Source organism: Homo sapiens, chromosome 7 (genome assembly GCF_000001405.40).
Source record: "Homo sapiens chromosome 7, GRCh38.p14 Primary Assembly".
Lineage (NCBI taxonomy): Eukaryota > Metazoa > Chordata > Mammalia > Primates > Hominidae > Homo > Homo sapiens.
Window position 1 is genome coordinate 149,255,974 of NC_000007.14, and position 23,653 is coordinate 149,279,626.

The window sequence follows — 23,653 nt, forward strand, 5'->3', positions numbered from 1 at the left end:
TATAATGTAACACCATTTATATAAATTAAAAATGCATGTACACAAAACATTTTGTAAGAACACTTGGGACCAAAGGAGACCCGTTAAAAGACATTACAGTTTTCCACGGGGAGAGCGAGCAAATAAGTAGAAGGAAACTTGGCTTGCTGTAAGGCAGGGGTCCCCAACCTTTTTGGCACCAGGACTGGTTTCGTGGAAGACAGGTTTTCCACAGACAGTGGTGGGGGACGGGATGGTTTTGGAATGAAACTGTTCCACCTCAGATCATCAGGCGTTAGATTCTCATAAGGAGCGCACAACCTAGATCCCTCGCGAGCGCAGTTCACAATAGGGTTCATTCTATGAGAATCTAATGCCGCCGCTGATCTGACAGGAGGCAGAGCTAACCTGCTGTGTGGCCTGATTCCTAACAGGCCATGGACCAGTACTGATCCACAGTCCAGGGGTTGAGGCCTCCTGCTATAAGGTATGGGATTGTCTTGTTACAGAAACAACATGGAGGGAATCCTTGTAGGGCTGGCGCTGTGTGAGGTGGGTAGGTAGCTTCGTCAGGAAAACCTTTGCAGTTTCTTTCCTGTTTCTTCTGCAGTTTTTTCTTACCCTCAAGCCTTTGCCTTATAGACACCCCCTCTGTCCTGTCCTTAGTTACTCTTACTTCCCAATTGTTGAGCGTTTTAATGTGAGCAGCCTTGGGCCTTGTGTTGTGGGGAAAAGCGAAGCACAAAATATGGTCCTACTTCTCCAATTAAGTTAAGTTTTCCTTGAGGCTGGGAAATAATTGTATCAAGCAATTGGACTCCTGCTGACACTTGTTGAATACTTGTGTGCTAGGCACTATTCAAATTATTTCCATGAAAACAAATCCTTATAGTTTTGGGTGGTGAGCATGATTTTACCTAGTTTTCCGTATGAGATGTGGGAGGAGGCCTGAGAAGTGAAGTAAGGTGGCAGAGGTGATGGAAACCCAGAGCATCTTGCTTCCGAGCCACACACTTGGCTGTGGGGTGGTGGTGCTTCTGCAGTTAGGAACTCAGTGTCAAAGCTGGATCCTGTGTCCTGAAGTGTGGGCTCTCTGCTGGCAGCAGCGGCATCCCCTAGGAGTGTGAAATGGTGCAGACTCAGGCTCCACCTAGACCCCCGAGTCAGAATCTGCATCTCAGCAAGCTCCCCAGGTGATTCTGTGCATGCAGAGGCACTCTCTTATGGTATACGAAAGATTCGCCTCTTCTTGTCTGCTTCTGCCATCCTCCATTGAAAGCCTGTTCTGCCAGGTGCTGAGGAGAAAACAGGAAATGCACTGTCAGAAGGACAGGGATGATCAAGTTAGAAAGATTGAAGTCAACAGGGAAGAATTAAATGCCAAATATTAGTGACTCATCTATCCTGCCTTTTCTATCCTTTCTGTTCCCACAGTTAAGGTCCTAGTCATCATTCATCCAAACTTTTCAGTAACCAGTAGGTCTTCTGCTCTTAATCACATCCTTTTTGATTCCAGAGTTAATGTCCTTGCACACAACTGGATGTAGACTTTCCTCAAAACCTTGCAATGGCTTTTAGCAGCTACTGATAATGAGCAGTCTTTTTAGTATAGAACTCAAGACTCTGAAAACCTGCGTCACCCTGCATTTTTTCTGTTTTCACTCTATGCTGCTGCCACATTGGGCTTCCTGTCATTCATTCATTCATTCATTTATTTTTTTTAAAAAATTTTTGAGACAGAGTCTCTGTTGCCCAGGCTGAGTGTGCCATCACAGCTCACTGCAGCCTTGACCTCTTGGGCTCAATGGATGCTCCCATCACAGCCTTCCAAGTAGCTGGCACTACAGGTGTGCACAAACCATACCCAGCTGATTTTTGTACCTTTTGTAGAGACAGGGTCCCACTATGTTGCCAGGCTGATCTTGAACTCCTAGGCTCAAGTGATCCTCCTGCCTCAGCCTCCCAAAGTGCTGGGATTACAGCTGTGAACCACCACGTCTGGCCTCCTGTCTTACTGAATAAGCCATGCTCTCTCCCTCTCTCTGCAGTGTCCTTCTCTGAACCAAACACTATTTTTCACTGTTTTGGCTTATAAGTTCCTTCTGTGAAAGCTTCCCTCATCCATTTCTTTCATTGAACAAATACATATTGAGTCCCTGTTATCTAGACACTATTTTAAATACACATCAATGAAAAAAAAGATCTTTGCCCTTATTGAGTTTATGTTCTTTCAAAATCAGTTTTCTTCCTTTACTGCACCTTTGCACAGCCCTTTCCTAGGTGAGGACAGTATTCCATTCTGCCTTAGAGTTTGTTCACTCACAAATATCTGAGTATCCTCCCTGTGCAGAATTCTACAGAGGGGTACAGGGATAAATCTTGCTCTTGGACTTACAGGCTACTAAGGGAATATAAGATAGAATAGTAATGTCTTCAGATAAGTGAGGGTAAAAGGCTTTAAGCATTCAGAGAACAATTATTTTAGATGTGAGACATTAGGGAAGACTTCGTGATAGGTGGTATTTGAACTGGCCTTTTAAGGATGGGAGGAAGGACATTCTAAATGGAGGTGACATGACCAAGTCAGGAGACATTATGGGACATGTACAGAAGAGGAGTTCATCCAATTTCGGGAGGGTGGAGTGTGAGAAGGAGAGTAGTGGGTGTTAAGAGTTGGGTCAGGCTTCAAGGAGTCTGGATTTTATTCGGTTGATAATGGGGAGCTGAAGAATTTTGAGCAAAAGAGTGACCTGATTCTAGCTGTGATTTGGGAATACTAATAAGAATTATACTGTGCTTTTTGGGGGGTGTGAGGTTTGGGATATGTTAGAAGGTTTCAAGTGAGATCAAGGAAGAGCCAGTGAGGACCTACCTGATTGGGTGCAGCTGCAGTGGGAAGGGAACAATAGATAAGACCAAGAAACAGTCACAGGATGTGATGCTGTGGGAATGGAGGGACCATTTTTTTTTTTTTTTTTTTTTTTTTGAGACGGAGCCTTGCTCTGTCGCCCAGGCTGGAGTGCAGTGGCGCCATCTCAGCTCACTGCAAGCTCCGCCTCCTGGGTTCAGGCCATTCTCCTGCCTCAGCCTCCCAAGTAGCTGGGACTACAGGCGCCTACCACCACGCCCGGCTAATTTTTTGTATTTTTAGTAGAGACGGGGTTTCATCGTGTTAGCCAGGATGGTCTTGATCTCCTGAGCTCGTGATCCGCCCGCCTCGGCCTCCCAAAGTGCTGGGATTACAGGCGTGAGCCACCGCGCCTGGCCTCAGGAGGGACCATGTCTTACTCCTATCAGCCTCCACAGCTCTCAGCACAGGTGCTTGGCACATAGGTGCTCAGCAAATGTTTGCTGAATGAGAAAGTATAATGGGTGTTCACAGAATAGAGAGCTGGGTGTTGTCTGAAATAGAGAAGGCTTCTATGGAGGAAGTGGGATTTGGCTGTACTTCTGGTCTCCCTCTACTAATGCTTCCGTTCCTAACATCTTTATAATTCTGTGTGGGTCCACCTCCTAATCTAAATTACATTCCTGGCTTGGAGGATGAGGGAGCCACAGGAATTCTGTCTCTGACCTGCCACTATCTCTTGGCTGAGGATGTTCTGGTGGGGACAATGGCACTTGAGTGTGCTGACCTCTTGTTGAGTGACCCTGGGTACTACTTTGGTGGCCCTCAAATTGTGACAACCCTACCTTCTGCAGGTGGAGTCACCCTTGTTACTCCACGGACTGGGCCTCCACTGGATGTTGTCAGTTCACCCAGAGATAATCAGGTCCTGGAAATCTGATCCCCCAAAAAACAAACTCACAAGAGACAGATTAACAATTAAAGATGAATGTAGGCTGAGCGTGGTGGCTGATGCCTGTAATCCCGGCACTTTTGGAGGCCGAGGTGGGTGGATCTCCTGAGGTCAGGAGTTTGAGACCAGCCTGGCCAACATGGTGAAACCCCGTCTCTACTAAAAATACTAAAAATTAGCCTGGCATGGTGGCAGGAACCTGTAATCCCAGCTACTCGGGAGGCTGAGGCAGGAGAATCTCTTGAACCTGGGAGGTGGAGGTTGCAGTGAGCCGAGATCGTGCCATTGCACTTCATCTTGGGCAACAAGAGCGAAACTCCGTCTTAAAAAAAAAAAGCCACCATGTAATTTTAATTTATATCAGAGCTGGCTTGACACCCCGGCTGGTCTGCTCAGAAACCACATTATGGTGCAAAGTGTTCGTTTATTAAATATATTTATAAAATCTGAGCATGGGAATGGGAGGTAGCTGTGGGACCCTGATAAACAGTGCCAAGGTTTTCGAACTGTGATCACCAGACCAATAGAATCAGCATTTCTTGGGAACTAGTTAGAATTGCAAATTCGCATCACTTTCATCCCCTCCTGTTTCAGACCTAGAAATGTTGAGGTTTGTGCCTAGCATCCTGTATTTTTAACAAGAACCCTCAGTGAACATGATGCACACTGAAGTTTGAGTACCACTGACTTAGAGAAACTTTTTTTCTAAAAAACGAAGACTAGCTGTCAAACATTATAGCACTCTTTCCTCAACAGAGCTCATTAAATCCTAGCATTTTTGTCTCCAGCCCATTTTCCTGACCCTTTCTTTCTTTCTTTTTCTTTTTTTTTTTTTTTGAGATGGGGTTTTGCTCTTGTTGCCCAGGCTGGAGTGCAATGGCATGATCTCGGCTTACTGCAACCTCTGCTTCCCGGGTTCAAGCGATTATCCTGCCTCAGCCTCCAGAGTACCTCACCACCACACCCAGCTAATTTTTTGTATTAGTAGAGATGGGGTTTCATCATGTTGGCCAGGCTGGTCTCGAACTCCTGACCTCAGGTGATCCATCCGCCTCAGCCTCCCAAACTGCTGGGATTACAGGCATGAGCCACGGCTCCTGGCCCATTTTCCTGACCCTTTCTGTTTGCATTGGACCTTAACTGTTATTCTATAACGTCACCATTTACTGGTATTTTATAATCCTGAATAGATTGGACTGATCCCTGATAAGATCCTAGGGATGCTCTTAATGTCTTTAGTGCATACTTGCAGTTTGTGTTTTAGATTGGGATAGTTCAACAAGAATTTCCAAAATGAATAATGCCAAATATTTATTTGATTTGTTACCTTAAAGTAACACGTCCTAACCTTTCCGCAAATTTTGGGGTTCACCTTACTTAGGATATCAGTTTGTGTTTTTTCTGATAGTTGACCACGCTTTTGCTTGGCTCAAATATTTGTGAAAATAACTTCTCACCCTCACCCCCCCCCCCCAAAAAAGAAAAAACAAAACCAAAACCAAAAAACCCCAAACAAACCCAAACACAGAAAGAAACAAAACTGCAGATTTCTAGCGGGAAGAGTTTGCCAGCTTGTTGGACAAAGACTGTGAGATGAATGGGAAATGCAGAAAAGACAGAAAACAAAGCTTCAACTGCATACAGCACATTTAGTTCAATATGCCTCAGCACAGGCCGAGGAAAATGGGTCCTGCGGTTTATTCAAGATGCCTCAGGGCCTAAATGAGGGATGGACTGATTCACACTTGCTGTGATCTCAGCCTGGACCAAAGCTACAGAAGGGTCCTCGTGGGTGGCTGAGGACTTTCACCAGGCGGGCCCCGGGAGGAGGAAGGGACCCCAGAGTCCTCAGGAGGGGAGGGCAGGCTTAGGAAAAAAAAAAAAAAAATCCTACCATCTTCACGTTTGTTCTGTCAAATTTAAAAGAGACTTTAAAAACGTTCATGTAAGTTTCCCTGGCTTCTCCCTGGGTACACACGTATCCTTTTTACTTTCCCCAACTCAGTTCTGTGGTGCGTGGGAGGCGCTGCAACAGAGTCTCGGTCCGGACTGGAGCCCCGGCGAGGGCCGACCCCGTTCCCCACGCAGCTTTCCCTCGCGAGGTTTCGCACTTTCCAGCGCGGTTCCTTCCCGCAGCCCTCCCGGCTCCCGCGTGGGACGCAGAGAGAGGTTGGGCGCCGCGCTGGCCCGGGAGTGGCTTACGCCTGACGTAGCCCCGCTGGAGGCCGTGGCACGCCCGCCCTGGCGTCAACTCCCGCGCCCCGGGTGAGGGTGGGTGGCCGCGCCTGGGTCCCGGACGCCGCGGGCGCTGAAGGCCTCGGGAGGGCGCGGGGCGGCGGCCGCGGGCGTGCGGTCCTACGGGCTGCAGGGGGCGCTGTGCGCGTCCTCAAGCTCGGCCGCCGAGCGCAGCTCTTTTTTAAAGGGCCAGCGGGGCACGTGGCTCGGGACGCAGTTCGCTGCCGCCCGGCAGTAGCTCTCAGGTTAGGCGGGTCCCGCTCCGCTTCCGCCGTCGCTGCCGCGCCGCCCCGGGCCCGACAGGCCGGGTCCAGGGACTGCAACCCAGCGAGGGACGCGGGCAGCCATGGCCGAAGCGGCGCCTGCCCGGGTAAGCGCCCTCGGCCCCGCGGACGCCCGGAAGGCCCAGGCCGCCGCCGCGTGAGCCCGCGCGAGGGACTCTGGCCGCGCGAGGCCGCGGGGTGAGAGGGCCTTGCGCGCAGCCTCCGCGCTCGTTGCCCCCGGCCCATCGCCCAGCCCGCGTCGAAGGCATTGACCGGGCGGCCCAAATGCCAGGCCCGGCGGGCGGGGCCCCGACGTCAGCGGCTGACGATCCGGCCCATCTGCGGCCTCAGCCAGGCCGGGCCCCAGAGTCACGCTCGGCGACGAGGAGGCCGCGCCTTAGGAGTATTGTCCCATTTGAGGCCTCGCGGCCCCCCCTACAGCAGGCTGGGCGGGCAGGGGCCGCCAGCCCCACGGGACAGTAGCGGAGGCTGAGATGGGAAGGGACAGGCCCAGGGTCACGCATCTATTAGAGGCGGGAGCCTCACGCCGGGGCAGGGATTTTGGAATTAGACACTTTAAAACGCCTCATATTCTACTTTTGCCAAAGAGAAAGATTGTGTCGTTTACAAGAGAGATAGTAGATTTTTTTAAAAAAGATTACTGTAGCAGATTTTATTTAATTTTTTTTTTTGAGAGGGAGTCTCGCTCTGTTGCGCATGCTGGATGGAGTGCAGTGGCACGATCTCGGCTCACTGCAAGCTCCGCCTCCCGGCTTCAAGGGATTCTCCTGCCTCAGCCTCCCAAGTAGCTGGGACTACAGGCGCCTGCTACCACGCCTGGCTAATTTTTCTATTTTTGGTAGAGACTGGGTTTCACTATGTTGGCCAGGCTGGTCTCGAACCCCTGACCTCGTGATCTGCCCGCCCCGGCCTCCCAAAGTGCTGGGATTACAGACGAGAGCTACCGCGCCCGGCCATTTTAAAATTTTTTAATTAAAAAAGTATATATATATACGTGTGTGTGTGTGTGTGTGTGTGTGTGTGTGTGTGTGTGTATATATATATATATATATATTTTTTTTTTAGACACAGTCTCACTCTCACCCAGGGTGGAGTGTAGTGGCGGGATCTCATCTCACTGCAACCTCTGCCTCTGCCTCCCGGGTTCAAGGTATTCTCCTGCCTCAGCCTCCCAATCCCAAGTAGCTGGGATTACAGGCGCAGGTGCCTGTCTCATTTATATCTATCTATCTATCTGTCCAGATACATATCTATATGAATAAGTTTATTCATAAGAATACACTATAAGTATTCCTATACAGAATTTTTCTCCTGGAGAAGGAAGAATCACATCAGTTTTTTTGGCATCTTCATCTATATAAGTTAGGCCAGTTTAGCAGATTTTAGAATCTTGGTTTGATATAGTGCAGTATGTCCAATTGGGAGATTATAATCCTTTGGCCATTTTTGACATACTGGAAAACGCTTGTAAAGGCTCAATAGATGATACCTACTATTATTAATACACCTCAGTGAAGGTTTTGAAACCTTGATTTTTCTGGATACTTTTATTAAAGTATAACTTCCTCTCCCTCCTCTTAGTGAGTGTGCTGAGCTTCTTTTTGGGTTCCCTGAGTGCAAGGGAGAGAAAAAGCGTTGAGGATTCTGCAGGTTTATAGTCCTGTTCCCTGGGAAGAGGGGGCCCTAGAAGGTGACATCATCCACTCCCCCTAGCCTGGGGCTCACTGCTTCACTACCTTTCAGATCACTCCTGTCCACCTGCTCCTCCCTTCTTGCAGCACTTGAGATCCCAAAAAACTCCCCAAAAGGGACAGATTTGCCCTGGACTCTTGTTAGCCCATCCTATCACACTGTTGTTGTTTATAAGTATTCCTATACAGAATTTTTCTCCTGGAGAAGGAAGAACCACATCAGTTTTTTCTTCATCTTCACTGTACATTTACTATGATAGGTGTTCAGTAATTGTTATTGAATGAATGAAGCAATTATAGATTACTAGTGCTAAGGGGGAGGGGCAGTGAAAATCTCTAGGATGCGTTGTCTATGCTAGAATCTTAAAAACGAGAGAGACTCAGGCATACAGAGGATGCATATTGAGAGCTGATGTGAAGTTGGAGGAGGGCCGGGTGGGTCCTCGGAATCCACAGGAGGCTGGCATGGCTGGAGCACGACAGGAACTGGATGGCTCAAGGTCAAGAGAGGTCGGCTGGGCCATGAAGAAGTCTAGATCTTATGCCAGGTACACTGGGAAGCTATTGAAGAGTTTTAAGCAGGGTACTGAAATGATCTATTTGTGTTTTTAAAAGATTACCAGGCCGGGAGCAGTGGCTCACTGACTCACGCCTGTAATCCCAGCACTTTGGGAGGCTGAGGCGGGCGGATCACAAGGTCAGGAGTTTGAGACCAGCCTGGCCAATATGGTGAAAGCCTGTCTCTACTGAAAATATAAAAATCAGCTGGGTGTGGTGGCGGGCGTCTGTAGTCCCAGCTACTTGGGAGGCTGAGGCAGGAGAATCGCTTGAACTTGGGAGGTGGAGGTTGCAGTGAGCCGAGATTGCGCCACTGTACCCCAGCCTGGGCGACAGAGCAAGACTCCGTCTCAAAAAAAAAAAAAAAAAAAAGATTAACAATTACTCTGTGGAAAGTGTATTGTCGGGGAGAAGCCTGGAAGTAGGGGAGAAGGCTGGAAGTGGGGGAGAAGGCTGGAAGTGGGGGAGAAGGCTGGAAGTGGGGGAGAAGGCTGGAAGTGGGGAAATCAGGTGGGCAGGACCGCAGTGGCCCAGGCCAAGCAAGGTGATGGGAACTTGGACTAGACACTGGCAGTGGAGAAGGAGAAACATGGATGGATTTGAGGTAATTTTGGAAGTTAGGACCTGATGGTGATTTAACCATGAAGGATGAATGAAATTGAGGAGTGAGATGTTGATTTGTCTCTCCAACAAGGCTTTTAGCAGCACCAACCAGGACTGTGCCCATTGCGCATGCACAATGAGGGCTTGTGAATCAGATACCAGGGTAAGCTGAGGCACTTGAGAAGCTTTTTCCAAGGCACTGAAGGACAATGGAATAAAAGAGGTGGAGGTTAAAAAAAAGGCCATATGAACTATTTATACCATATCCCTGAGCTGGAACCATCACCATAATCACTGTCATTGTCTCAGTCTGCTCAGGCTGCCTTGGTTCCCGGCAGGGCTCTTTTCCTGGTTTGCAGACGGCTGCCTTCTCATTGTATCCTCACGTGGCATACAGCAAGATCATCTCCCTTGTGTCTCCTCTTACAAGGGCGCTAATCCTATTTATGAGGGCTCTGCCTTCATGGCCTAATTGCCTCCCAGAAGCTCCACCTCCAAATACCGGCATATTGGGGATTAATGCTTCAGCAGATGGATATTGAGGGAGACACAAGCATTCATTCCATAGCAGTCAGTGTCATCTTAGCCCTGCAACATGGGGCTCATGTTTATTATCTGTGCTGTGCTACACATTGTACTAAGTGCTTTGTACACAGATTTTTCTTAATTCTCTCAGTGCTATTGTATAGGTACTATTATTATCTCCATTTTCTAGATAGGGAAGGGAAGTTGGAAGCTGTTGAAAACACCTTGCCCACAGTTGGCCAGCTTGTAAGTGGCAGAGCTGAGTTGCACCTGGGCTGTCCACTGGGGAGTCATGTTCTCTGTGCCACAAAGCCTTGTCCTTTCATTTTTAGAAGAGGAAACTGAGACCCAAGAAGGGGAGTCACTTGTTTGAGACTGCACGTGGTTGCTCAAGCCTGTGGGGCATGCCCCGTCTCCATAGCTAGCCTGTAGGACAGGAGCCGGGGCTGTTTTTCTTCCACTTTCCCACTTGCTGACACGTTGGTCCAGCCACTATCTCTTGTATCAGTTAGGCTGGATTCCTAACTGATACCCTAGCCTCTCCCTCTCCCCCCCAGTCTGCTGCTAACTCAGGAGCCCAGATGGGACTTTACCATGGCAGGTGTCATTTCCGAAGTGTGTTTTTGAGGTGGAAGTTTTGATTGTATAATTCTCATAACATCTCTCTTTTCTCTTCTTGTGAGCAGGACCCCGAGACAGACAAGCACACAGAGGACCAGAGTCCTTCGACACCCTTGCCCCAGCCAGCTGCTGAGAAGAACTCGTACCTCTACTCCACGGAAATCACACTGTGGACGGTGGTGGCCGCCATTCAGGCCTTGGAGAAGAAGGTGGATTCCTGCCTGACCCGCTTGCTGACTCTGGAGGGGCGCACGGGGACAGCCGAGAAGAAGCTGGCCGACTGCGAGAAGACAGCTGTGGAGTTCGGGAACCAGCTGGAGGGCAAGTGGGCCGTGCTGGGGACCTTGCTGCAGGAGTACGGGCTGCTGCAGAGGCGGCTGGAGAATGTGGAGAACTTGCTGCGCAACAGGAACTTCTGGATCTTGCGGCTGCCCCCGGGCAGCAAGGGGGAGGCCCCCAAGGTAGCACCGGGACACCCTGGGGTGGGGGAGCTCGAGGGGCTGAGCCTGTGAGCGTGTGGGTGAGTGAGTGCGACACTTATGGTTCCAGGTGCCCGTGACCTTCGATGATGTGGCCGTGTATTTCTCTGAGCTGGAGTGGGGCAAGCTGGAGGACTGGCAGAAGGAGCTCTACAAGCACGTGATGAGGGGCAACTACGAGACGCTGGTCTCCCTGGGTAAGGCCACGGAGGGAGGATCTGGGCCTCTGTCCACAGGTTGTCTGTGGACAGTCTGTGTCTTTGCTTTGGCTTTTGGTACTTTGGGCATCTCTGCATCTCTGTGGGCATGTGGGGTCCAGCTCTTCCTCATTTCTTGTTCTGTGCACAGATTATGCAATCTCCAAACCAGACATCCTCACCCGGATAGAGAGGGGAGAGGAGCCTTGTCTTGACCGGTGGGGCCAGGAGAAGGGGAATGAAGTAGAGGTGGGACGTCCAAGGATGATGGGCACTGGTAAGTATAGGAGCCAGATGTGGTTGGGGGGCCGCCAGGGGCTAGCTGCACCATCGCCTACCCTCTCGGGCTTCCCAGACAATCAGGGAGGGCAGGAAGGGAGCATAGACCATTAACCCAAAGTGGGACCACTCTGTACAAGGCCACCCTGGGCAGGAGTGGGTGGCTGGCTTGAGCCATAGGGTTTCTATATCTGTCTAAGGTGGAACATCACACTCACCTTACGTGGTTGTGATGACTGAGTGATAAGTGTTAAGCATGTACATACTGATCACTTTATAATAGTGGAGACTGGCCTGGCGCGGTGGCTCACGCCTGTAATCCCAGCACTTTGGGAGGCTGAGGCGGGCGGATCATGAGGTCAGGAGATCGAGACCATCCTGGTTAACATAGTGAAACCCCTTCTCTAGTAAAAATACAAAAAATTAGCCGGGCGTGGTGGCAGGCGCCTGTAGTCCCAGCTACTCGGGAGGCTGAGGCAGGAGAATGGCGTGAACCCGGGAGGCGGAGTTTGCAATGAGCCGAGATTGCGCCACTGCACTCCAGCCTGGGTGACGGAGCAAGACTTCATCTAAAAAAAAAAATAATGGGGACTTAGTAATACCTCCACCAGCAGCACTGCTGCCTCCTGGCATCTTCACGTGTGTCCATGTCCCCGCTATTGCTTGTGTCCCCTATTGCAGTCCCACAACCCCAGCCTGTGGCAGGAAGGCATGTCACGTGCTGGCTTCCATTTGTGTACATGGCCCTTGGTAGGAGGGCCAGGCATGCCCTGTCCTTGTAGCTGGTATATAGGACAGTGGTTCCAAAGGGGACTGCACATCACAATCCTCTGGGGAGCTTTATTTTTTCAATTAAATTTTAATAAAGTAGAATAGCACAGCGAATCTCCAAATGATCGTCACCAAAACTCAACACTCTGCTGGGTTTTGCCACATGCGCTTCATCCATCTGTTTTTACCCTTTTCCTGAACAATGACCACATACCATGATCACACCCACAGAATATCAGAATATCATCTAATACCATCTAATACCTAGCCTTTGTTTTGTTTTCCCTAGTTGTCTCAAAAATGTTTTCTATGGGTCTTTGGATCCTAATTGTAATACACCCAAGTCCACATTTTACATTTGGTTTACGTCTCTGAAGTATATTAAAAAAACTTATGACAATCCCCCCAGTCTTTTTCAACAGCTTTATTGAGATATAATTCATATACTATATAATTCACCTGTTAAAGTGTACAATTGAGTACTTTTAAAAAAAATTTCAACTTTTAATTTGGATATAGGCATACACCTGCGGGTTTGTTACATGGGTATATTGTGCCCAGGTAGTGAGCATAGTACCCAAGCTTTTCAATCCATTCTCCTCTCTTTCCCTTCCCCCTGTAGTAGTCCACAGTGTCTATTTTTGCCAGGTTTATGTCAATGTGTGCTCATTGTTTAGGTCCCAGTTATAAGTGAGAACATGCAATATTTGGTTTTCTGTTCTTGCATTAGTTCACTTAGGATTATGGCCTTCAGCTTCATGTTGCTGCACAGGACATGATTTCATTCGTTTTTATGGCTATGTAATATTCCATGGTGTATATGTACCACATTTTCTTTATTCAGTCCACCACTGATGGACACCCAGGTTGATTCCATGTCTTTGCTATTGTGAATAACATTGTGATGAACATACGTGTGCATGTATATTTTTGGTATAATGATCTATTTTCCTTTGGGTATATACCCAGTAACAGGATTGCTGGGTCAAATGGTAGTTCTGTTTTAAGTCCCTTGAGAAATCTTCAAACTGCTTTCCACAGTGGCTGAACTAACTTACATTCCCATCAACAGTGTATAGGCATTCCATTTTCTCTACAGCCTCACCAGCATCTGACGGTTTTTGAGTTTTTAATAATTGCCATTCTGACTGGTGTGAGATGGTATCTCATGGTTTTGATTTACATTTCTCTGATGATTAGTGATGGTGAGCATTTTTTCATGTTTGTTGGCCGCTTGCATGTCTTCTTTTAAGAAATGTCTGTTCATGTCCTTTGCCCATTTATTGCTTGTTGATTTAAGTTCCTTATAGATGCTGGATGTTAGACCTTTGTCAGATGCATAGTTTCCAGATATTTTCTCCCATTCTGTAGGTTGTCAGCTTACTCTGTTGGTAGTTTCTTTTGCTCTGCAGAAGCTCTTTAGTTTAATTAGGTCCCACTTGTCAATTTTTGTTTTTGTTGCAGTTGCTTTTGAGGACTTAGCCAAAAATTCTTTGCCAAGGGCAATATCGAGGAGGGTATTTCCTAGGTTTTATTCTAGAATTTTTATAATTTGAGGTCTTACATTTAAATCTTTAATCCATCTTGAGTTACTTTTTGCATATGGTGAAAGGTAAGGGTCTAGCTTCATTCTTCTGCACATGTCTAGCTAGTTACCCTAGCAACATTTTTTTTAAATTTTATTATTATTATACTTTAAGTTTTAGGGTGCATGTGCACAATGTGCAGGTTTGTTACATATGTATACATGTGCCATGTTGGTGTGCTGCACCCATTAACTCGTCACTTAGTATTAGGTATATCTTCTAATGCTATCCCTCCCCCCTCCCCCCACCCCACAACAGTCCCTGGTGTGTGATGTTTCCCTTTCTGTGTCCATGTGTTCTCATTGTTCAGTTCCCACCTATGAGTGAGGGCATGCGGTGTTTGGTTTTTTGTCCTTGCGATAGTTTGCTGAGAATGATGGTTTCCAGCTTCATCCGTGTCCCTACAAAGGACATGAACTCATCATTTTTTATGGCTGCATAGTATTCCATGGTGTATATGTGCCACATTTTCTTAATCCAGTCTATCATTGTTGGACATTTGGGTTGGTTCCAAGTGTTTGCTATTGTGAATAGTGCTGCAATAAACATACGTATGCATGTGTCTTTATAGCAGCATGATTTATAATCCTTTGGGTATATACCCAGTAATGGGATGGCTTACCCCAGCAACATTTATTGAATAGGGAAGGGAGTCTTTTCACCATTGCATTTTTTTTAGTCAGACTACAGGTGCACGCCACCATATCCGGCTAATTTTTGTATTTTTTCGTAAAGACAGAGTTTCACTATATTGCCCAGGCTGGTCTCAAACTCTTGGGCTCAAGCAGTCCACCTACTTTTGCCTCCGAAAATGCTAGTCAGCTTTTTTAGTTACCCTGAGATTCAGTCTGCACTGAAAAGGCAGAATGGATGCTTAATTCTTTCCTTTATCAGTTTCAGAATGAATGAAGAGTTGCTGCCTTAGTAGCCTCCAAAGGTGACCCATGACTTGGGCTTCTTTTTTTTCCTGAGTTAAGTTATTGTGACTTCACAGATAATTGGATATTTCATATGTGCTAGGCCTTTGCAGCCATGATTTTCCTGCTTAAACTGTCCCATCTTTAGCTAGTGGGAGCCTCTTTTTTAAGTTGGCCCATAGGTTATTCTGATGTGACCTCAGTGGCTTTCAGACACCATAAGGTGTGCCAGATTTATGTGTGTGCTTCCTGCTCCAGACCTGGAATCAAAATGTCTCTGGATTTTTGATTTCTATTGGTGAGGAGTGGTATTTAGAGATTACAATGTGAGTGTTAATTGTTGCTGATTTTTGGCACTACTTCTAGGCCTGTTCAGAAAATACATATTTTTGGAAAGAAAAAAGAAATCATGAGTTTATACATTGATATTTCTAATTCAAATTTAATGTTCTTTGGTTTTTTTTCTTGAGACGGAGCCTCGCTCTGTCGCCCAGGCTGGAGTGCGAGCTCACTCACTGCAAGCTCCACCTCCCGGGTTCATGCCATTCTCCTGCCTCAGCCTCCTGAGTAGCTGGGACTACAGGTGCCCGCCACCACGCCTGGCTAATTTTTTGTATTTTTGGTAGAGACGGGGTTTCACCGTGTTAGCCAAGATGGTCTCGATTTCCTGACCTCATGATCTGCCTGCCTCGGCCTTCCAAAGTGCTGGGATTACAGGCGTGAGCCACGGCGCCCAGCCTGGCTCTTTGATTTTATATTGTTTATCACTTTCCTTTTAGGTGGCAATCTTAAATTCTCAACGAAATTTGCATAATTTCTTAAATGATCTTATATCCAGTCCTACCACTTCATTATCCTATAATTTATCTTACAATTTCAAAACAGTGAAGCCATAATACTATTAACAATTAGACTTCCATTGAAATACAAGATTTCTTTGCAGTTCTTTTTGTCCTCTGTATACATTCTATGCAGGACTTATGGGCAAAATAATGCCTTTTAAAGTCACTTGAAATATTTTCTCTATGTAGTTATGTCACCAGCTTGGTATACAGTTGCATTCATTTGTGTATTTTTAGATTTTTTATTGATTATTCTTTTTGGTTTTTGATTTAACTTAATTTTTTGAATATGTAAGATATTTTATGTTTGCGAAGTCAAAATGATTTAACAGGGTAGATTCAAGGAAGTCTCGTTTCCATCCTTGTGGCCTCTCACTATAGATAATCATCTTGATTCCTTTCTTATTTATACTACCATGTTTCAATAACACAGAGATATATTTGTATTCCCACCCCTGTCTTATTCAGTAGGTTGTGGAGATCACCTCATATGATTATGTACAGATCTTCCTCAGTTCTTCTGTGGATTCAGAATGTTCTGTGGTATGATAGTTTATTTAACAGTCTGTACCTTGGACATTTAGGGTATTTCCAGTATTTTGCTGATATAAATAATGCTGCAGGGAGTACGTTGTGCATAAATCAGTTCATGTTTTTGCCAACGTATCTTTTTTTTAAATTTATTTTTTGTGAGAAGGAGTCTCACTCACTCTGTTGCCCAGGCTGGAGTGCAGTGGCACGATCTCGTCTCACTGTAATCCCTGACTCCTGGGTTCAAATGATTCTGGAGCCCCAGCCTCTGGAGTAGCTGGGACCACAGGTGTGCGCCACCACGCCTGGCTAATTTTCGTATTAGCAGAGACGGGGTTTCATCATGTTGGCCAGGCTGGTCTCTAACTCCTGACCTCAAGTGATCTACCCTCCTCAGCCTCCCAAAGTGTTGAGATTACATATGAGCCACTGTGCCTAGCCCCAATGTATCTTTGAGATGTAATCCTGGAAGTTGGATTTCTGGGTCAAAAGGTAAATGAATATGTTATTTGGGGAGAATTTATCTCCAAATTCCCCTCCATAGGGCTCGTATCATTTGCATTCTCATCTGTGTTGTGAGAAAGGTTCTCATGCCAACAGAGGGCAAACTTGTAGGATTCTTTTCAGTGTAATAGTAAGAAGTCTGTCAGTGTAGTTTTAATGGCACCTCTCTTACTGAGTGTGGATGAGTTTTTTTTTTCCTTTAGAACTCTTTCTATTTTAATCTCTAATTTTTATGGGTACATAGTAGGTGTGCATATTTATGGGGTACATGAGATATTTTGATACAGGCATACAATGTGTAATAATGACCTCAGGGTAAATGGGATATTCATACCTCAAGCATTTATTATTTCTTTGTATTATAAACATTCCAATTATACTTTTAGTTATTATAAAATGTACAATTAAATTATTGTTGACTGTAGTCACCCTGTTATGCTATCACATGCTAGATCTTATTCATTCTATTTAACTATATTTTTTACCCATTAACCATCTCTACTTCCCCCCTCGCACCTTCCCCCAACCCTTCCCAGCCTTCAGTAACCATCATTCAACTTCTCTGTCTCCATGAGTTCAATTGTTTTACTTTTTAGCTCCCACAAATGAATGAGAACATGCAAAGTTTGTCTTTCTGTGCCTGGCTTATTTCACTTAACATGATGTCCTCCAGTTCCACCCATGTTGTTGCAGATGACAGGATCTCATTCTTTTTTTATAGCTGAGTATTACTCTATTGTGTATATGTACCACCTTTTCTCTGTCCATTTGTCTGTTGATGGACACTTAGGTTGATTTCAAATCTTGACTATTGTGAATAATGCTGCAGTAAACATGGGAGTGCAGATACCTCTTTGATACACTGATTTCCTTTCTTTTGGGTATTACTTAGCAGTGGGGTTTCTGGGTCACGTGGTAGTTCTGCTTTTAGTTTTTTTGAGGCACCTCCATACTGTTCTCCATAGTGGTTGCACTAATTTACATTCCCACCAACAGTGCACGAGGGTTCCCTTTTCTCCACATCCTCGCCAGCATGTGTTATTGCCCGTCTTTTGGATAAAAGACATCTTAACTGGGATGAGATGATATGTCATTGTAGTTTTGATTTGCATTTCTTTGATGATCGATTATGTTGAGCACCTTTTCATATACCTGTTTGCCATTTGTACTTTTTTTTTTTTTTGAGATAGGGTCTCACTCTGTTGCCCAGATGTGACAGGAGTGCAGTGGCACAATCAGAGCTCACTGCACCCGATTTCCTGGGTTCAAGCCATTCTCCCACCTCAGCCTCCCAAGTAGCTGGGACTAGAGGCATGTGTCACCACACCCAGCTAATTTTTGTATTTCTTGTAGAGGTAGAGTTTTGCCATGTTGTCCAGGCTGGTCTTGAACTCCTGGACTCGAGCAATCTTCCTGCCACAGCCTTCCAAAGCACTGAGATTAGAGGCATGGGCCACCATGCCCAAGCTGTATGCCATCTTTTGAGAAATATCTATTCAGATCTTTTGCCCATTTTTAATCAGATTATCTTTTAATTGGGTAATTAGATTTTTTTCCTATAGATTTGTTTGAGCCCCTTAGATATTTTGGTTATGAATCCCTTGTCAGATGGATAATTTGCAAATATTTTTTCCCGTTCTGTGGGGTGTCTTTTCACTTTGTTGATTGATTCCTTTGCTGTGCAGAAGCTTTTTAACTTGATGTGATCCCGTTTGTTCATTTTTGCTTTGGTTGTCTGTGCTTTAGGGTAGTACTCGAATCTTTGCCCAGAACAATGTCCTGGAGAGTTTCCCCAATGTTTTCTTGTAGTAGTTTGATAGTTCGAGGTCTTATATTTAAGTTTTTAATCTATTTTGATTTGATTTCTGTATATGATGAGAGATAGGAGTTTAGTTTTATTTTTCTGCATATGGATATTCAGTTTTCCTGGCACCATTTATTGAAATAACCATCCTTATTCCAATATATGTTCTTTTTTTTTTCCTTTTCTTTTTTTTTTTTCTTTTTTGAGACGGAGTCTCACTCTGTCACCCAGGCTGGAGTGTGGTGGCACAGTCTTGGCTCACTGCAACCTCCGCCTTGCAGGCTCAAGCAATTTTCCTGTCTCAGCCTCCTGAGTAGCTGGGACTACAGGCGCCAGCCACCACTCCCAGCTAATTTTTGTATTTTTAGTAGAGACGGAGTTTCACCATATTGGTCAGGCTGGTTTTGAACTCCTGACATCAGGTGATCCACCCACCTTGGCTGCCCAAAGTGTTGGGATTACAGGCGTGAGCCGCCGCACCTGGCCTAATATGTGTTCTTGACACCTTTGTTAAAAATGAGTTAGCTGTAGATGTATCGGTTTATTTCTGGGTTCCCTCTTCTATTCTGTTGTTCTATTTGTCTTTTTTTATGCCATTACCATGCTGTTTTGATTACCGTAGATCTGTAGTATAATTTGAAGTCAGGTAATAGATTCCTCCAGTTTTGTTCTTTTTGCTTAGGATGCCTTTGGCTATTTCAGGTTTTTCATGGTTCTGTATACACTTTAGGATTATTTTTTCTATTTCTGTGAAGAATGTCTTTGATATTTTGATAGGAATTGCATTGAGTCTGTAGATTGCTTTGTGTACTGTGGACATTATAACTAATTCATTCTTCCAATCTATGAACATGGAATATCTTTCCATTTTTTGGTGTCCTCTTCAATTTCTTGCATTAATGTTTCATAATTTTCATTCTAGACATCTTTTACTTCCTTTGTTAAGTTTTTTCCTAGGTATTTTATTTTATTTATAGCTATTGTAAATGGGATTATTTTCTTGATTTCTTTTTCAGATTGTTCACTGTTGGCATATAAAAAGGCTACTGATTTTGTATATTGATTCCGTATGCTGCGACTTTGCTGAATTTATCAGTTCTAATAGGTTTTTTTGATGGAGGCTTTAGGTTTTTCTTTCTTTTTTTTTTTTTTAGACGGAGTTTCGCTCTGTTGCCTAGGCTGGAGTGCAGTGGCGCGATCTTGGCTCACTGCAAGCTGCGCCTCCCGGGTTCACGCCATTCTCCTGCCTCAGCCTCCCGAGTAGCTGGGACTACAGGCACCCATGACCACGCCCGGCTAATTTTTTGTGTTTTTTTTTAAGTAGAGACGGGGTTTCACTGTGTTAGCCAGGATGGTCTCGATTTCCTGACCTTGTGATCCGCCCGCCTGGGCCTCCCAAAGTGCTGGGATTACAGGCATGAGCCACTGCGCCTGGCCCTCTCCTGCCGTTCTTTCAAAATCATCTTCAATGAGGTTGCCTTCTTGGCCTGTGCTTCCCTTTATTCATCTGGGGGCACTGGAGGCCAAGGAGCTGCGTGGAGTCTTCACCTGATGGAACTGATGGAAGTGGCATTTTTGGAGAGGCCTAGGACTGCCCCAACTAGGAGCACTGCTGACTTGCAGGCTGCTTGATCCTGGGGGTGCTGCCCCTTTGCCAGTGCTGTCCCCCAAATCCAACTGCAGTGGAATCTGGCTCTTCCTCCCAATATTTAAAAAATTATTCATAATTTTTTTTGGCAGGGTCTTGCTCTGTCACTCAGACTGGAGTCGTGCAATCATAGCTTACTGCAGCCTCAACTTCCCGGGCTCAGGTGATCCTCCCACCTCAGCCCCCTGAGTAGCTGGAACTACAGGCGTATGCCACCACACCCAGCTCATTTTTGTATTTTTTTGTAGAGGCAGGGTTTCACCATGTTGCCTATACTGGTCTCAAACTCCTGAGCTCAAGCAGTTCTCCCATCTTGGCCTCCCAAAGTGTTGGGATTACAGGCATGAGCCACTACGCCCGGCCTTATTTTCAATTCTTAGTGGCTCACGAACAGTCAGGATTCATATTTTCACTTAGACTGTTCTGTTTCTCATTCTTTTTTGAGGCTTCATCCTGCTCAGTCACCACCTTGTGATGCTTGGGGCTGTTTAGTAGGATGGATGATGTGTTTTTCTTTGTTGTAGGAAGGATCCAAAGATGAAACTTCAGAGGATGATCCACTGAAATTTTTAGGATCTGCTGATGAAGCAACCGTCTTTAGGCTTGTCATGAAAGCAACATTTTTAGGGGCAGTGTAACCCGTTGGTTTATAACTCTCCCGTACGTAAAGGGGAATCGGTAGCAGTGTTAGCAGGCACAGACTCAATTGGATTATTACTTTTCATCACTATTTTACCTTTTGATAACCTTCTAGCTGGTTTTACCTCTTCTGTTAGAAGAGAACCTCAGTTGAGGTAGAGTGGACAGGACCCCACTTGGGTTACTTTTTATTTATTTATTTATTTATTTATTTATTTATTTGAGACAGGGTCTGGCCCCGTTGCCCAGGTTGGAATGCAACTGGCACAATCATGGCTCACTGCAGCCTCATACTCCTGGGCTCAAGCCATCCTCCTGCCTCAGCCTCCCAACTAGCAGGGACTGCAGTCATGTGCCACCATACTCGGCGTTTGGTGGTTATTTATTTATTTTTTTTTTTGAGATGGAGTCTTGCTCTGTCGCCCAGGCTGGAGTGCAGTGGCGCGATCTCGGCTCACTGCAAGCTCCGCCTCCCGGGTTCATGCCATTCTCCTGCCTCAGCCTCCCAAGTAGCTGGGACTACAGGTGCCTGCCACCACGCCCAGCTAATTTTTTGTATTTTTAGTAGAGACGGGGTTTCACCATGTTAGCCAGGATGGTCTTGATCTCCTGACCTTGTGATCCGCCTGCCTTGGCCTCCCAAAGTGCTGGGATTACAGGCGTGAGCCACCGCGCCCGGTCTGGTTGTTCTTTTATCTCTGACAAGGCATTGTTCTCTGGATGCTTAAGTTTAGGAAGATCCAGCGTGGTAAATTCCAACCCAGGTTTGGAGGTAGAGCCACTTTTTCCATGATTCTGGGTTTCTTGTCTGTTCCCTTCTGATCTGATGCCCATCCAATTTCAAATTCCTCTTAGCATCAAGTGGACAAATGATGTGAGCCATTTGCTGATTTCATCTCTGATGGTAGCATTCTGTCAACTCTCACTGTCAGCCTTTTGCTCATCATAGTTTTTTTCTTATCATCTTTTTTTGCTTAAAAAATCAGAGCTTTGGCCAGGCACAGTGGCTCACTCCTGTAATCCCAGCACTTTGGGAGGCCAAGAGGGTGGATCACAAGGTCAGGAGTTCAAGACCAGCCTGGCCAAGATGGTGGAACCCCGTCTCTACTTAAAAAATACAAAAATTAGCCGGGCATGGTAATGGGCGTCTGTAATCCCTACTACTTGGGAGGCTGAGGCAGAGAATTGCTTGAACCTGGGAGTCGGAGTTTGCAGTGAGCCAGGATTGCGCCACTGCACTCCAGCCTGGGCAACAGAGCGAGACTCCGCCTCAAAAAAAAAAAAAAAAATTCAAAAAAAAAAATCAGAGTTTGATTTCTTGTGTGAGAGGACAAGTGCTCATTTCGGGGCTTTACCATTTGAAAGTCTTGCTAACAGCTGGGTTGGTTACGATCACTCTGGGAGGCGGGCACTGATTAAACATGTATATAGACACGGGTTCTAAGAAGTAGGCGTAGGGATGGAGTTATCTTGAAAGACAACTTCTGAGGGGAAAACCTTGACGCTCCTAACGCCATATCTTCAGTTGTGTTTCTGCCCTGCCTTGGGTCCCCTATGCCATAAGAGCAGCTTGGAGGAGGAGGAGGAGGCCCGACTGCGGGAGGTGGTGACCACCCCACTGGCTGGTGGGACAGGCATGGTGTTTCTCTTTCCTGCCTTAAAATGCCAGATTCTGTCATGACCTGCCTGGCGATCATTACCGTGATTTCCTGTCTGCTGAATTCCTGTGCTGCAGTTTCCTTCTGTGGGACATGAGGCTTTAGACTGGAATCTAGCTGCCAGGTATTTGGTGGGGTCCACCTCACTATCATGCCCTGTGCTGGAGCTGAGGCCCCAGGATCGCAGTGACTCTGCCTTTCCCCAGAGGGTCCCTGGTCATCTGGGCAGGAGACCTCCATGTTGTGCTCAATGTCACTGATTTACATTCTCCAGGCCTCCCTCCGTATCCAGAGCACCTCACCAGCCCACTTAGCCCTGCCCAGGAGGAGCTGAAAGAAGGGCAGGCCCCCAAGCAGCAGCAGGACTCAGAGGCGAGAGTGGCCCCAGCCGGGCCAGAAGCAGGTGAGTGAGGACAGTGAGGCGGCAGGATGAACAGTGTCCCGAGGCAGCACGCGATCACCAAGCGATGGTGCTGAGGAAAAGCCCTGGAAGCATGGGGCTGGGAGAGAGGGCTGGGAGACTGGTTGGGCTGGGCCGGACAGGCTTTCTGGGAAAGAGGCCCCTGAGACAGGCCTAAAAGAAGGTAGGTTTTGGCATTTTCAGCGTGAGAAAACAGTCTGTATAGAGGGGTGGGTTCCTCTGCGTGTTGGGGGCCTGGGCACATGGGTCCGGTGGAGTGAGGGGAGGGGGTAGATGGGTGTGTTGTGCCTGCCCAGGGTCTTTACGAGGGTCCCATCCACGGGGCAGTGTGTGTCCTGTGCCTAGCGCGGCGCCAGCATGGTGTTTCTCAGTAAACGCCCTCTTTCTGAAGACCTACTGGGAACTCTGGCTTTAGTCATCCTTCCAGACTTCTTTGTCTGCTTTTATTTAAAGGCAGTCCCTGCCTGTCCTTTCACAAAAGTGTATATCAGGGCATTTAGCGGAACACTTGCAAACAGTCCAGAGCTCTGTTCTCTGTCTAGTGTTCCTCTGCGGGGCTGGCTCCTCCACCTGGTCCTGCCGCTGGCCCGACTTTCAGTCTCTGGTTGCTTTCCCTGTGGTGATTTCTGGGTATCTTCCCCACTGGATCATCCTCCCTTCCCTGGGTTTCTCTTTCCAGCCAGTGTGTAAGTCTGGGCTCTGCTCATGGAGTTGGAGAGATGGGACCCTCTTAGGTGGGAAGGCAATGTTCCTGCCCCATTGCAGACCTGGAACGGTGTCCGGGAGCCTCCCAACCCTCTGTTCTTTTCAGGCTCATCAGGGTGACAGATGCTGAGGGACAAGTCATTAGCACTGGCCTGCAGGAGTGTTGGGGACATGGCCTTCGTAGCTCTTGTCTCACCTCTGAAGCCCTCGGGACAGAAGCCCTAGGCCTCCTTTCCCTGACAGGGACTTGCGCACGTCCAGGGCTGCTGGGGAGATGGCTGTGCACGCTGCAAGCCGCGGGTGTCCAGCAGCCGGTGTTGGGAGAGGCCCTCGCCGAGTCTTTCTCACGTGGCCGCCAGCTAGCACCAGCATTTTA

At 46.8% G+C, this 23,653-nt stretch overlaps 1 protein-coding gene and 1 long non-coding RNA gene across 7 annotated transcripts in view, besides 1 other annotated feature; one reads left to right on the forward strand and one right to left on the reverse strand.

Moving 5' to 3' along the window:
• On the reverse strand, window positions 1-6,368 carry LOC124901769 (uncharacterized). Its single transcript, XR_007060582.1, has 2 exons — window positions 5,674-6,368; window positions 1-1,274 (listed from the first exon to the last, which is right to left on the reverse strand). It is a non-coding gene; the product is annotated as an uncharacterized LOC124901769 (long non-coding RNA).
• Window positions 5,821-6,690: a silencer, noted in NCBI's record as "silent region_18753". NCBI's record gives its function as "represses an Ori minimal core promoter by ATAC-STARR-seq in GM12878 lymphoblastoid cells {active_cell/tissue: GM12878}" and the evidence as "EXISTENCE:reporter gene assay evidence [ECO:0000049][PMID:35858748]".
• The window catches only part of ZNF783 (zinc finger protein 783), a 22,799-nt gene continuing 5,368 nt past the window's right edge, over window positions 6,223-23,653 (forward strand). Inside the window, exons 1-6 of one of the 6 annotated variants that reach the window (NR_144366.2) lie at window positions 6,223-6,384; window positions 10,362-10,757; window positions 10,846-10,972; window positions 11,124-11,249; window positions 22,163-22,275; window positions 22,426-22,554. Coding sequence is in view for 3 of the 6 variants with exons in the window: in XM_011515701.3 (XP_011514003.1) it covers window positions 9,095-9,151; window positions 10,362-10,757; window positions 10,846-10,972; window positions 11,124-11,249; window positions 22,426-22,554 (835 nt within the window). In the remaining 3 variants the exon portion in view is untranslated. Of the gene's footprint in view, window positions 6,385-6,498; window positions 8,538-9,055; window positions 9,152-10,361; window positions 10,758-10,845; window positions 10,973-11,123; window positions 11,250-20,378; window positions 20,515-22,162; window positions 22,276-22,425; window positions 22,555-23,653 lie in introns of those variants that run through there. The other 5 variants (NR_144367.1, XR_001744503.2, NM_001195220.2 and 2 more) reach the window with 5 other exon arrangements.